Genomic DNA, 16181 nt, shown 5'->3' on the forward strand with positions numbered 1-16181 from the left:
ATATTAGCAATTGGAGGTTTTCCTATGAATAAACCAGTTTACCTCTCTGTCTCTCTGTAGTGAAACCCTCTTTTGGACCAGCCCCTCCCTTCATCACAGAAATTCCATTCTGCTATTTTGTGCCATACTGAAATTTGAATGAACAAATAAAAACATCAAAAGAAGAGGCAGACACCAAAACAAATACACAGAGAGTATGTAGGAAGAAGAAAACGTCCAAAAAAATCTATAACTAGTAATTGCAGAGAGATAAGAGAAAGAATTGCATACATGAAACAAGAATAGAATGCCTGGAAAGGAATAGTCAGAATATGGAAGCATCTGGGGAATGAAAAATGGGGTTTCTAAAATTAAAATCTTAATAGAAAGACGAAAAGTTAAAGTCTTAACCAAAATGAGACCAAAAAATCAGGATAGACGTAGGAAGGAAGATGATGATAAGAAAATAGTGGTTAAATTTAGAAACTCCAATGTTCCAGTAATAGAAGTTCCAGAAAGATGAAAAAGTAAAAATTGAGACAAGGGGTGAATAAGCAAATAGTAAAAGAAGATTTTTCTTTATAACATAAAGAGCTATGATTTGAGATTGAGGCCTTCCAGGTGGCCAGACAGTGAATAGAGAGAGATTCCTAGGACACCCGGTCTTGAAATTCCAAAACATTAGGAAGAAAGGTTCTGGAGAGAGAAAAAGCCATGCACTTACAAAGGAGTACAAACGAGGGTGTTATCAGGCCTCTGAACAACAGCATTTAAAACTGAGTGAAAATGACTTCACCTAGAATGTGATACCTGGACAAACAATTGATCACCAATGCATTTTGAGGCATACAAGTCATCACTTTAATTCCTGCTTTACGTTTTTTTCAGGAAGCTTGTAAAGGGATTCTCCAAAATAAGGGAGTAGCCCAAGAGGGTGGGCGATGCGGAATCCAGGACAAGGAGTGGGGATGGGAAACGCAGAGTCAGGAGGAGTGTCATTCTCAGGCTGGCAGCTGGCCCGTGGACAGTCACGCCACATGGCAGGCATGTGGCTTTATGCTTTGCAAATCCTGGTGCTGCCTCATTGTACCCTTTGGTGTCTGAGCAAGTCTATTCATCTGTGTAACCAGTTCCCTGCATCCCTGTTTAGATCCCGAATTAAACATATGCTATTCCCATTGGGTGGGATTGGTGTTGGGAACTAGGGTTAGGGGAGGGGAAATTAATGAGAAAGTTTTATTTCTTTTTTTTACATTGAGAAAATACTACTTTTGCTATTAAAATAATAATGTATATTTGTGAAGTGGTAAAATTCATGTATCACCTTGCACAGGTATGGAGAAGATCAACTTTTCAGGTGGAGAGCCATTTCTTCAAGACCGGGGAGAATACCTGGGCAAGTTGGTGAGGTTCTGCAAAGTAGAGTTGCGGCTGCCCAGCGTGAGCATCGTGAGCAATGGAAGCCTGATCCGGGAGAGGTGGTTCCAGAATTATGGTGTGCTCCATGGGATGGCATTCTTCTTATTGCTATTGCTATTTTTATTGTTGGTTCTTATATTTCCTTCCCTCCTGGGCCTTCAGCCAGGCCTGCTGAGGAACTGGAAGGGAGGAAAAACTAATCTTGCTTACTCTAATTGCTTTTCAAGCTGTGCACGGCATTATGGCAGTTTTAGTTCCTTAGGGCTCTCAGTAAACAAGTTTGGCAAGTTAGATAATAGACCTTTTACTGAGATGACTATCTTGTACATTGCAATTTAGCAAATACAAGATCTATGGCCTTAGTTTAGACACTAGGTAGGAAAATTAACACATTTGACAGCTTTGTAATAAAATATCTCTGTTGGGACTGGACTGGATCCATGACTAATTTTATCAGAACCTCGTGGTGTGTGGATTAGCCAAGGTGGAGGGCTCCAAGGGATTCCACCATGTAGCCAGGATTAAGAACTGCTGAATTCTAAGGCTGCTGAGATTCCTCGCAGTTCAGTTTTCTGCAGGTGTCATGTCCATATAGCAGTTCTTAAAACTTAGCAAGAGCTTGGAAAACATTAGCTCTTCTTATATGGACTGTCATGTTGGGAAACAGGTATAATCTGTTACAGTACAATTCTCTGTTCTTGTTTATATGAGCTGTTGGAGCCTTGAAGTCTTTCAAAGGGAAACTGCATTTATAATCTGTTGAGGATGTTGCTGAGACATCTCTGATACCCCATCTGTGATGGTGCGGACATGGACTGTGGGGGAGGGACGCTGTGGATGTGGGTTGGAGGGTCCATCTGATAAGGGTTAAGCAGGTAGAGAAGAGTCAAGGTGTCAGATGCAGGTGAATTAGGAAGGGCCTACAAGCGTGTAAAACCAAAATGGTAGTGAAGGGAGGCACTTTGTCACTCACACAGGGAGTCTGAGGTTCAAAAGTGAACTTTGGGAACCATACTCAGAGAGAGAAAAAAGAAACTGAGGAAGCAGTGTGATGGAGACCAACTGGCGGGGTTTTCTGGGTGGGTACCCAGCCAATGCCCTTCCTCCAAGATCAGCCGTCCAGGATGTCCTCATGGTGTGCAGAGTAGGGACAGTACTGCATGTCCAGGTCAAATCTCTCAGGCTTGTGGGAGAAAGTGGTATAAATTAGTGAATTTAGAAGCATATAAGAAAAGACACTGTCAGCAGCATGGAGACAATAGGAAAGCATGAAGACTGTGGAGAACGGGAAGCATCGCGCCATATTCCTATAGTGCATGAGTGGAGCGCCAACTAGGAGGTTTCATTGATTTTTGTGCAGCAAGAGAATTTGGATGATCCTCAAATTATTAAACATAGATCAAAAATCTACAATTATAAATATTTGAAAATAATTAGAAATATTTTTAGGCATTGTGAGGAACAAATGTTTATAGATGCCTATCTGGCCCATAAGCTGCTGATTTTCCACCTCTGGCTTAATGGGTCAGGGATGGGTCTATGTGTTGAGTGGATGAAGAGAGCTGTTTTAGGGCCTCACTACCTCTCCAAGTTTGGTAATTTGCTAGAAGGACTTCCAACACTCAATAGCCAGCTATGCTCACGTCTAGGGTTTATTAGAATAAAGGATACAGAACAGAAACAGCAGGGTAAAGACATATATCACCAGAGTCCAGAGAGTCCAGACACAGGCTCTGAGTCCTTCTCCATCCCAGGCCTCATAGGTTGTACTTTCTCTCTAGCAGTGAACTATAGGGACATATTTGGAATGTCTTTGCACAGGAAGGTCCATTTGAGTCTTAGGGTCTGAGGCTTTATACAGGGCTAGTCATTTATGCACATGCTGCTATGTAACCAGCTATTGGAACTGAAACTCAGGACCCCAACAACGCAACCAAGGAAATCATGGATCTTGTTAAACAATCCTGAGAAGTCTTGACAAGTTGATTCAACATGCCCCATTGCTCCAGGTTTATACACCTCACCAATGATATATAGAATATTGTAGCTACCATATGTGCAGGGATTGGCCAAGATTCCACCATGGTTCCAGGTTTTCCTGGAAAGATGTAGGGACTGAGCAAACAGATCTGCTCCATTAAATCTCTCTTCCCAAGAGCTTTGGCAAGGAAAAGCTGAGGACAGGAGGATAGTTATCATGGACACATAGCAAAAGTTGGAAAGGCGGCAGAATATAGCAATTGACTTACAGATCCTCAGATGACTTGGAAATCAACTAGGTCTGTCTTTAGTATAACTGATAAGGCTGTATGTTTTTGGTTTTGAACTTAATTTCTGGTCTGTTTGGAGATCAGGTGCTCAGTTACTTGCCTTTTCACAATGTGATATGCCATTAGGAATTTATTTGAGATCAATTTTTAGAACGTTTTGAGTTGTTTTAAATTATGGACAGTTGCCTTATTCTGGCTCCAGTTTATGCTAGATATTTTGAGGGCGTATGTTACATACGGATAAAATAAAATTAGCCCAAAATAGGAGTTAAAATGACTCTTTTTATAATATTAGAGGATAGTTGCTTAAAGAGTTTTTGGAATTTCCAGCTTCTATAATTTGAAAGTAATTTTAAGAAAAAGAGTCGACTCTTAAAAAGTCACAAAACTAGGAAAACTCAGACTTAATCAACTGCAAGGAGTGACTCAGCCATTGAGAATATCTGTACTTAAGAGATAAGTGGATAGCATGAAGGAGCAGAGGAAATTGGAGGGATAATAAGATAGGTGGAGTAGAAACTAGTGTGACAGAAACCAAAGCAAAGGTAATTGTGAACACTTGCTGTGCTCCCAAAACGACACGCTGTCACAGCTCTTCACATACCATGTTGCAAGGAGGGGTCTGTTTACACTTTATTCCCACACCAGGCTTCCCTTTCTCTTGGTTTTCTTGGCATCTAACACAGTTGTCTCTGACATCACATAGAATGTCTCTAGATATTTAGATGATGAGACAACTGTCAAGAAGATGTCCAGAAGAAGCGGATGAACTTAGCAAAAATACTAGGGATCTTCAACAGAGCAATTTTATCTGTGTGATGGAAAGAAAAAGAAGTAAATTTATAATTGTTCATAAATAAGTCTAGAGGCATCCAAATATATCTACCTGCCTCAGAAATTACATAATTTGTATGCAGGAATAAATGAAAAACCTCATTTAAATATATCAGTAAGTGCTCACACACATACATGTGTAGAGTTTTCAAATAATCAACTAAGTATTTGCATCATTATTTTACATATATATTTAGTTTTTCAGGTTTGACACAAGAAGAAAGTAAAATTCATATCTCAATGAGTTTTGTGGGTATAAGGAAAAGTGTCTTTTTAAAAATTTAAACAAGATATATTTTATCACAAGAGATCTAAATAGCCCAAGGGGCTTGGTCCTTGGATAGAAAAGTTTAAACATGATCATTTTCCCTCAGGTGAGTATTTGGACATTCTCGCTATCTCCTGTGACAGCTTTGACGAGGAAGTCAATGTCCTTATTGGCCGTGGCCAAGGAAAGAAGAACCATGTGGAAAACCTTCAAAAGCTGAGGAGGTGGTGTAGGGATTATAGAGTCGCTTTCAAGATAAATTCTGTCATTAATCGTTTCAACGTGGAAGAGGACATGACGGAACAGATCAAAGCACTAAACCCTGTCCGCTGGAAAGTAAGTACACAAGGTCGCTTTTGCTGATTTCCTTCAAGAAAACTTTCAGGAATGACTTTTTTCAATGAAACTGAAAACAATACTGATACAAGAGAACTCTGGACCTCGCAAGCCAGTCCAGAAGTCAGGTCCTTGGTCTTTCAGCTCTGTTAGACTTAAAACTATACTTTTCTTTGTCTTAGACATAAAACTAGACTTTTCTTTGCCTTACTTCCCTTTTCTGAAAACATGATATGATTTCCTTTGGAAATATTGTGAGGATAAACATAAAAAAATATGCTCAGTGCTTTGAAATGTTTGGAAGAATATGTTCATAGAAAGCCTAAATTTATTTTTAAAACTCTTGGCTTATGGATGGACAGATACCGGTTCCTCATAAATTCTGATGCAGTGAATTTCTAGAAGACATTAGGGTTAAAGTCTTCCCCAAGTTGTAGCAAAATGGGACCTTTATTCCCAGATTCATGCTTTAGGGCTGGCCCCACTACCAGCTACTAAAAGCCAACTCCACATATGCAGCTCCCACTCTGTGCAGACATCATGACTAAAATCCCAGTTTTCTACCTTTGACTGCTCGTCAGAAGCAAATCAGGAGGCTGTTTAAAAAGCAGCTTCTTGGGCCTCATATCTGCTGCCCTGAAACAGGGCCTGTGGTGAAGGTAAGCATAGCAGGGAGGGCTTGCACAAACGTGTATTTCTAACAAGCAGTCCAGGTGCAATGAAAGATAAGATGCAGAGCTCAGTGCTAGCACAAACACACAAAAAGAGATGTGGGAAAAGTCACATGATAGAAAGCTATGTGTGCTACCATATCGTGAAATGGCAAAACAGGCTGAGCTTAAGTGGAAGGCTTCATATAGGAGGAAGCATTTGGCTATGCTCTGAAAAATGGAAAGAATTTTCGTAGGTGGCAAAGACCTGAAGAAGAAAGGCACATCCAGACTAGAGGGCTTTGCCTGCACAAAAAACAGCTTTTCCTTCAAAGCTGCCTTGGCTGTTTTTTTAAATCCCATGTCAGCATTCCAAATAGAGTTAGGGAAGAGGGAAAGGGATATTCTATCATTTTCCTGAAGCTGTCCTGTAATATGTGGAAATGGGTTAGGGGAAGCTGGAGATGCTACTTTCAAAAATTGCTAATAGGTATGTTGAACTTGAACTTTTGGTTACATATATAAGGATATGAATTATCAGCCACATTCCCAGGTCTAGAAGGAACTGGAGAAAAGCTAAAGAGAGAGGTCTGATAGGAAAAACAGGGACATGATCCACCAGGAAGGCAGAGGCTCCAGCTGGAGGGCTAAGCTGCCTTAGACATGTTGACTTTCCTGCCTGCCCCTCTCCTGTACCCACCTCTCTCGTCTTCCCTATGTTTCCTGTTACTGTCTTCCTCATTGTTCTCTTTTGGTGTCCTTTTTTCAGATGTGTAAATATTTTTTCCCCACAGCTTGGTTTTCTCCTATCTCATGGCCTTTCTCTCAGATATTTTGACTCCCACACTGGCTTCCATTCATCTGATTCACTGTAGATTTGCCATCAAGATCCTGACTCTTTTGGTGGAAGGCTAGTTTCTGCCTGTTTGGAAAACCAGATTATTGATGTATGCAGGCTTCCAATTGATGTAAATTGATGCTTCTGGAACAGGTGCCTGTTCTTAGTCCAATCTTACATTGCACTCAGAACCTAGTTTCCTGAGGCTGCCTCCTCCACTGTGAGGCTGTGGGCTGGAAGGTGTCACCAGCCGTGTCCCCGGGACAACAGCAATGAGCATGCGTGATTACTCACTGGGAGGCTTTGTTGTGACCTGTAGGCTTGCTCCAGCAGCATGGGAGGAGAGGGCTCCTTCTACTCCCCCATGCCCAATCCCACACCCTCAATATTGTTCCCCTTCCAGCTCCTACGGCTTGCTTTTCTCCTGCAGAAGCCCTTCCAGTCTAGCTGGCTGATTCTGGAGTCAAAGTCCCTGGAAAAAAATGCCTGTGCTGTATGTCTTCTTTGATAGTCAAGTCTGCTCATGATTCAAACCTACATGGAAGGGCACTCCCTCCCTGCCAGGCCTCTCCTTACCCTGAGCCTGGATGGGGCATGAGGATGGGTGACAACCCCTCCCAAGATGCTCACAGTCTATTAAGGAAGACACCATGAAAGCAAATAGCAAAATTATCCTATGACCAGGGGCCAGTGGAGGCAGATATCAAAAGACCGAGAAGCAAAAAAGAAGAGGAAAAATAAAGAGTGAGCAAAAAAGGCAACATGAAGTGTTGACAATTTCTTCTCATCTGACTATAGTGGCATCTGAGTGGTTCAGACGATGATATTAGTGAAATTCTGTGTAGAATCATCCTTTCCATGGAAACCCTTTAGATCTGGGTTTGTCCTGCCTCTGTGTTGGGTTGGCTGTCACCCTTTGTCACCTTGGGCAAGTCTCTTCACTTCTTGCCTTTTCTAGGACTGACTTTTATTTTCAAATGATGGTAGTATGTATAGAATAATACACTGTCCACACTCTTACACACACATTTGTTTACTTAAAAGACTGTTGAAAGAGAATATTAATGATTTTGAAAAACTGTTCTTAGGTCTTACATGAAAAACAGACATATGCTAGAGGCCTTCATAAGAATATATTAAAAATCAGCAGAGAAAACAATGTTTTTAAAATGTGTTTTTCTGGGTTATGGGATTACACATGATTTATTTTTATGCTCTTTTATAGTTTATATTTTTTCAATAAGTACCTATTATTTTGTTGTCTGAAAATTTATGACTCAATCAAACATAATCTAGACAAGTTTTTGAAAGTTTATATTTTAATAATGTTTGTGCTTCTGACACCATATTCCTAAATTTCAGGGCTAGCTTTCATTTCCCCAAAGTAATATCTTTCTAGAATGTTCCTCAGCTCGTAGAGTCTCTTTGCTCAGAAGAGATGAAGCTTGAAAAGGGGGAGTGAGGTTTGGGGGAAAACACGATGGAAAGCTCTCTGCAAAGCAAACACTACCATTGCCTTTCAGGTGTTCCAGTGCCTCTTAATTGAGGGTGAGAATTGTGGAGAAGATGCTCTAAGAGAAGCAGAAAGATTTGTTATTGGTGATGAAGAATTTGAAAGATTCTTGGAGCGCCACAAAGAAGTGTCCTGCTTGGTGCCTGAATCTAACCAGAAGGTTGTATAAAGCAAAAGTTGTTTTCTTTGTCATCATACATTCAGATTGATTCCCAAAAGGGAAGTCTCTCAGCCAAGGACCCCACACATTGTTATTTTAGAGGGTTCGGTGGTGAGAAATGGGAGGAATGCCATGTCAGGGCAGATAGGGCTGAGGGCTGCCATTGACTCTGCCACCTCCCAGCTGCAGGGTCTTTAGAGAGCTTCAGTTTCTCTATCCACGATGGATAGAGTGGTACTTTGCAGATGATACAACTGTATATAGATTCATGTAGATATTCTTGCTATATGATTCATATAAGTATAATGTCCCTATGTGTCATACATGCATGACATAACCCCTAAACATAGAAAGAACTAACGAACGCCACTCTGTTGATATCAACATTATCACTTTATTTAGTTGAATAATCTCTATGTATAATTTTGTTATGTTGCACAGAATGTAGAAGAAATGTTTCCCATTTAGTTTTCTAATGTAATGACAATTGGATCCATCCTATTAGCACAAATTTCATACACCGATAAAACAAGGTTGGCCAAAACATGTCTACACTGTGGAGCTTCAGGTATAACTAGAAGCCGGGTATCTAAAAATGTGTTCTCAGAAGCTACAGGAAAAAAAATCCATTAATAAGGAACCTCCTTATTAATGAAAGATACAAACTTTAAAAAAATTATGATAGTATAATTGAATCCATAAAATTAAAAATATGTCACACATATCATAAAATTAAAAGTGAAATATGTTAACATGATATACTGAATTGTATAAAATAAAGTATTATATATAAAGTTATTTAAATCAATAAGAATCTATGAACACCAAAAAAAGCAAAACATCCAATGGGCATAAATAGATAATTTACAGAAAAAAAACAAATGGTGAATAAACATTTTAAGAGTATTTGATATTGTCTATATTCAAGGAAATACAAAATAAAATATGAAGCATAAAGTTGCAGTAAGAGAGGCAAGTTCATATTGTTAGCAAGAGTATAAATTATTGCAACTTTCCTAGAAAACGAATTGCTAACTTTATAACCTTTAAAATAGCCCATATTTGAATTTAGAAATTCTACCTTAAAACAAGAGAAATATTCACAGAACTAGAGAAGTACTTATGTAAAGATATGTTACTGCAGTATTAAGAATAATACCGGCCGGGCGCGGTGGCTCACGCCTGTAATCCCAGCACTTTGGGGGGCTGAGATGGGCGGATCACGAGGTCAGGAAATCGAGACCATCCTGGCTAACACAGTGAAACCCCATCTCTACTGAAAATACAAAAAATTAGCCGGGCGTGGTTGCGGGCGCCTGTAGTCCCAGCTACTCGAGAGGCTGAGGCAGGAGAATGGTGTGAACCCGGGAGGCGGAGCTTGCAATGAGCGGAGATCGCTCACTGCAGTCCAGCCTGGGCGACAGAGCGAGACTCTGTCTCAAACAAACAAACAAACAAAAAGAATAATACCAAAAAAAAATAAAGATAGCCTGTCATTCAGCATACAGAGAATGAGTAAGTCTGTAGGTTCACAGAATGAAATGTTACACTGACTAACAAGCATATTCCAAAAATTTTTAAGTGACAAGGAGAAATTCTGATAATATAATAGTAGGTACAGATAAAAAACAGTATGCAAAATTAATTTGAAGTTTAATCCTGATGTGTAAAAAAAAGTATCTCTACATATTCCTTTGGTTATCTTGGAGTAGTGGAATTATAAGTAGTTTTATTCACCTTTATAACTTTTTGAACTTTAAAATTTTGTAACTTAAGTATTAGTTTTATTATTTTAAAAACAGCTTCTCCATCTGCCATCCAAAAATACATATACAGGAAAATCTCTACCCCATATGTTTAAGTAATGCTAGGAACTCAAAGAGCAGACATTCATTCCTTATGCTTTAGACTTCTGAGGCTCTAGGTAAATGGTTCAAGTTTAAAAGGTAATGTTGAAGTGAACATGAACAAGAAAATCTCAGAATGAAGGACAGGATGACCATCAAAAAGAAGAGAAAGGGGGTAGAGGAGGTTTTCCTCTATGCACTATTTTATTTAATTTTTTAAAACTCCATCTTAATAGTTAATATGACATCAAAGAAAATTTGGTTGAGTACCTCCTTTGTAAGAGGGACTGTTAACCCTTTGACTCATTGCCATTTTCACTAATGCTTCATGAGCCAGGTTGTATCATCCCCATTGTATACATCAAGAGGCCGAGTGGTAGGTACTCATTTACCTGACTTGTATCAGGGGCAAAATCTGAATTTTGATGACCCCAAAGCCCACAAACCTTTTAGCCAGTTTGTTTCAAACTTCATCAAATCACCTGGGATCTTGTGAAAGGGCAGACCTCTACTCAGTGGGTCTGAGGTTGGCCCACCACTCTGCACCTTGAACTAGTTCCCAGATGATGCTGATGCTACTGGTACCCCACTAGACATTCAATAGCAGGTCTGCTCCCATCCCTTCCTAGGAGTTGGCAAATGCTGGCCCCAGGGATGGGTCTGGCCTGCCACCTGTTGTAGTACAGGATGCAAGTTAAGACTTGATGAGGGAAAACATCAAAACAAGAATCGTATTTGTGCCCTGTGAACATTATATAAAAGCTGGTTTTCTGGGTCCATAAATTAAGTTTCAGTGGAGCTCAGCCAAGCTATTTTTCTTATGTATCATCTGTGGTGGATTTTGGGCTGCAAAGCACAGTTGATTAGTTGTGACAGACTGTGTGGCCTGCTAAGCAGAAAATATTTGCTATCTGGCCCTTTACAGAAAACATTTTACAGACCCCTATCTACAAGAATAGGTATAGAAGGAATACCTTCCCATCAACAGTGCAGGTACAGCTTCTATATACCTATAGAAGTCATAACTGTTTGTAAGTAATGTTAGGGTAATAATAAAATCCTCAGGTAAATCGACCCTTTAGCTCCAAAAAAATAGCATTCAAGAGAGTTCTGCTTTATACATTGAAAAGGGAGAAATTAGATACATGGTGGACACAGTCATCAGAAATATCATGTAAAGAAGAAAAGGGCTCTCCCAAAGTGTGAAGGGTTGGGGAAATTGCCTTGGGGTTCAATGTCAGGGAAGCCTTCAGGATGAAGGTTCTGATGTGTGACCTTTTCAGCAAAGAGCAGAGAATCCAGGCCTGCTGTGATCTGTTGAAAACCGAATGCACACAAACAGAGCCTTGTCTTGTGAGGGCCATGCCAAAGGCAACTCAAGGGAAATGAGAAATGCTGGATCCAAAACAATACAATGCAAACACTACAGGTGGACAATTGAGCTCACATACTGAGAAATGCACCTGAAACTAAATTTGTATTAACTTCTCCTTTGCAGATGAAAGACTCCTACCTTATTCTGGATGAATATGTGAGTATTTCCAATGAGTTATAAAATTAAAACTTAATTAATTAATTAGCAGTAATGGCAGAGTTGAGTTCCATGAGCATAACTATCTAGTACCTATTTGTCCTTCTTAATTAGCACTTCACAGTTTGATAGTCAGTGATTATGATTATGCCAGAGCCCTCACTTCACAGGGTCAAATGTGGAGCTAAACACTGGAACAGAATAAGCTTCAACCCAGGTCCCAGCACTGATTTGCACTGAGCACCATATGATATTGTCTGCCATGTAACTATGCATCCGTGGATGTCACATTGAACCCGTTATCACACACAACAGAGTCATCTGTTATGTAGTCCTGGGCTGGAGGCTCTCCTGAGATAGGGCATCCAGCCTACTTTGAAGGAAGGCCATATCACTCTTCTCATTATCTTGGACAAACCAGGCACAGCCAGCTTGTCTTCTGATTGATAAACCTTGGCTTTCCTAAGGAGAGGCTTATGTTTCTGCTCCAAACACCACTGATATTATTCCTACCCCCACTGCCTTCCAAAGGAAGAGGGAAACCTACCCTTCTCAAAACTGAAAAACAAATCACTTTCCCCTTTCCTCTGTCTTTTTTTTTCTAGATCTATAACCATTGCCACTCTTCCTAGCAAAGGACAAATAATTCCATTTGAAGACATATTTTAAAGAAATGAGCTCCAACAACCTTGAATTCCATATTTAAATTGGATTTGTTTTTTGGAGAAATACTTACTGTCACTTTTGATGTTTGCTTTTCTTTCTTTCTTTTCTTTTTTTTTCTGAGATAGGTTTTCCTGTCACCCAGGCTAGAGGGCAATGGCACAATCTTGGCTCACTGCAGCCTCAGCCACCTGGGCTCAGGTGATCCTTCTGCCTCAGCCTCCCAGGTAGCTGGTACTACAGATGTGCACTACCACACCCAGCTAGATTTTTATGTATTTTTTGTAGAGATTGGATTTTGCCATGTTGCCCATGCTGGCCTCTAACACTTGGGCCTCCCCAGATGCTGGGATTCCAGGTGTGGGCCCCCATGTCCAGCTGGTATTTTGTTATTTTCAAGTTAACCAATCATTGTTTATACCCATTTCATTTCTTAACAATATAAGCTTTCTTAATAGAGCATAAGGGAAAAGGTGATAAGGAAAACATTTAGTTTCTGGGTCCAAGGTAGAGAGGAAAATTCAAACAATTTATTTTTGGAGTGGAAATTATTATGATTGTCTAGTGATTTTGACCAGCATCCCTCAACAAACTCACTGGTCTCCACATATTTGGAAAACACATCGTTGAACCAAAATTTGCTTTTACCAATTGAATAACATTTTGCTTCAATAAGTATTACTTGAGCTCCTATGAAACACTCAGTGTAGGTCGTAAGGAGTGTGAAGAAATCGTTTCTGCCTACAGAGTAGAATAGGACAGACTAAAACAAATGAAAATGGATGGAATAAGATTAAAACAAAGAGCCTTCGCAGGTCATGGAAGACTCTTCTTGATCTGGCACCTGCCATGGAAGACTCCTCTTGATCTGGCACCTGCCTGCCTCAGCAGCACCTTTCTTTTCATCCTCTCTCCGTTTCTCAAAACAAGCCTTTATTAATATTTACATATATGCATGCATGCACGGATGCATGCACATCATTACTATTCCAGAAACACCGTCTACCTCCATTTCCCCAGTACATCATGCTATATCACACTTCTGTGCTTTTATGATACCATTCCCTCCAATTTAAAATCTCAACACATAATTCAGATGTTAGCATTTGGGGCAAGCCTCTCCTGATTACCCCTTCCCCCAGTGGAACTACATCTGCCCATGCGGGGCGCATATCATTCTGTTTATTGTGCGCTTAGGTGTCTACTGTACTTAGCCCAGCCTCTTCCACCAGACCATGAGCTGGTTGAGTAGAGAGATGGGGTCCAAGGGGTTCAATATCAGCCACAGATTTCAAAAGATACCTGTCGACATGACTGGAATATCAAAAGCTATTTGGGATTAATAGTCTAGATTGAGTTTTACAGGATTCATCACATGGAAATATACCAGTTTCTGTTATGAATTTTCTAGATGCGCTTTCTGAACTGTAGAAAGGGACGGAAGGACCCTTCCAAGTCCATCCTGGATGTTGGTGTAGAAGAAGCTATAAAATTCAGTGGATTTGATGAAAAGATGTTTCTGAAGCGAGGAGGAAAATACATATGGAGTAAGGCTGATCTGAAGCTGGATTGGTAGAGCGGAAAGTGGAACGAGACTTCAACACACCAGTGGGAAAACTCCTAGAGTAACTGCCATTGTCTGCAATACTATCCCGTTGGTATTTCCCAGTGGCTGAAAACCTGATTTTCTGCTGCACGTGGCATCTGATTACCTGTGGTCACTGAACACACGAATAACTTGGATAGCAAATCCTGAGACAATGGAAAACCATTAACTTTACTTCATTGGCTTATAACCTTGTTGTTATTGAAACAGCACTTCTGTTTTTGAGTTTGTTTTAGCTAAAAAGAAGGAATACACACAGGAATAATGACCCCAAAAATGCTTAGATAAGGCCCCTATACACAGGACCTGACATTTAGCTCAATGATGCGTTTGTAAGAAATAAGCTCTAGTGATATCTGTGGGGGCAAAATTTAATTTGGATTTGATTTTTTAAAACAATGTTTACTGCGATTTCTATATTTCCATTTTGAAACTATTTCTTGTTCCAGGTTTGTTCATTTGACAGAGTCAGTATTTTTTGCCAAATATCCAGATAACCAGTTTTCACATCTGAGACATTACAAAGTATCTGCCTCAATTATTTCTGCTGGTTATAATGCTTTTTTTTTTTTGCCTTTATGCCATTGCAGTCTTGTACTTTTTACTGTGATGTACAGAAATAGTCAACAGATGTTTCCAAGAACATATGATATGATAATCCTACCAATTTTCAAGAAGTCTCTAGAAAGAGATAACACATGGAAAGACGGTGTGGTGCAGCCCAGCCCACGGTGGCTGTTCCATGAATGCTGGCTACCTATGTGTGTGGTACCTGTTGTGTCCCTTTCTCTTCAAAGATCCTGAGCAAAACAAAGATACGCTTTCCATTTGATGATGGAGTTGACATGGAGGCAGTGCTTGCATTGCTTTGTTCGCCTATCATCTGGCCACATGAGGCTGTCAAGCAAAAGAATAGGAGTGTAGTTGAGTAGCTGGTTGGCCCTACATCTCTGAGAAGTGACGGCACACTGGGTTGGCATAAGATATCCTAAAATCACGCTGGAACCTTGGGCAAGGAAGAATGTGAGCAAGAGTAGAGAGAGTGCCTGGATTTCATGTCAGTGAAGCCAAGTCACCATATCATATTTTTGAATGAACTCTGAGTCAGTTGAAATAGGGTACCATCTAGGTCAGTTTAAGAAGAGTCAGCTCAGAGAAAGCAAGCATAAGGGAAAATGTCACGTAAACTAGATCAGGGAACAAAATCCTCTCCTTGTGGAAATATCCCATGCAGTTTGTTGATACAACTTAGTATCTTATTGCCTAAAAAAAAATTTCTTATCATTGTTTCAAAAAAGCAAAATCATGGAAAATTTTTGTTGTCCAGGCAAATAAAAGGTCATTTTAATTTAGCTGCAATTTCAGTGTTCCTCACTAGGTGGCATTTAAATGTCGCCTGATGTCATTAAGCACCATCCAAAAAGTCTGCTTCATAATCTATTTTCAAGACTTGGTGATTCTGAAAGTTTTGGTTTTTGTGACTTTGTTTCTCAGGAAAAAAAATATTCCTACTTAAATTTTAAGTCTATAATTCAATTTAAATATGTGTGTGTCTCATCCAGGATAGGATAGGTTGTCTTCTATTTTCCATTTTACCTATTTACTTTTTTTGTAAGAAAAGAGAAAAATGAATTCTAAAGATGTTCCCCATGGGTTTTGATTGTGTCTAAGCTATGATGACCTTCATATAATCAGCATAAACATAAAACAAATTTTTTACTTAACATGAGTGCACTTTACTAATCCTCATGGCACAGTGGCTCACGCCTGTAATCCCAGCACTTGGGAGGACAATGTGGGTGGATCACGAGGTCAGGAGTTCGAGAACAGCCTGGCCAACATGGTGAAACCCCGTCTCCACTAAAAATACAAAAATTAGCCAGGCATGGTGGCGTACACTTGTAATTCCAGCTACTCAAGAGGCTGAGGCAGGAGGATTGCTTGAACCCTGAAGGCAGAGGTTACAGAGCCAAGATAGCGCCACTGCACTCCAGCCTGGATGACAGAGCAAGACTCCGTCTCAAAAAAAAAAAAAAAAAAAAGCAAGAGAGTTCAACTAAGAAAGGTCACATATGTGAAAGCCCAAGGACACTGTTTGATATACAGCAGGTATTCAATCAGTGTTATTTGAAACCAAATCTGAATTTGAAGTTTGAATCTTCTGAGTTGGAATGAATTTTTTTCTAGCTGAGGGAAACTGTATTTTTCTTTCCCCAAAGAGGAATGTAATGTAAAGTGAAATAAAACTATAAGCTATGTTAAATACA

At 39.8% G+C, this 16181-nt stretch overlaps 1 protein-coding gene across 2 annotated transcripts in view; it reads left to right on the forward strand.

Moving 5' to 3' along the window:
* Positions 1-16181, forward strand: part of RSAD2 (radical S-adenosyl methionine domain containing 2) — a 32355-nt gene extending 16174 nt beyond the window's left edge. For both annotated transcript variants that reach the window (NM_001410702.1, NM_080657.5), the window contains exons 2-6: positions 1313-1474; positions 4877-5106; positions 8118-8267; positions 11613-11645; positions 13720-16181. In NM_001410702.1, the coding sequence (NP_001397631.1) occupies positions 1313-1474; positions 4877-5106; positions 8118-8267; positions 11613-11645; positions 13720-13884 (740 nt within the window). In that variant the 3' untranslated portion in view covers positions 13885-16181. The remainder of the gene's footprint in view (positions 1-1312; positions 1475-4876; positions 5107-8117; positions 8268-11612; positions 11646-13719) is intronic.

Source organism: Homo sapiens, chromosome 2 (assembly GCF_000001405.40).
Source record: "Homo sapiens chromosome 2, GRCh38.p14 Primary Assembly".
NCBI lineage: Eukaryota > Metazoa > Chordata > Mammalia > Primates > Hominidae > Homo > Homo sapiens.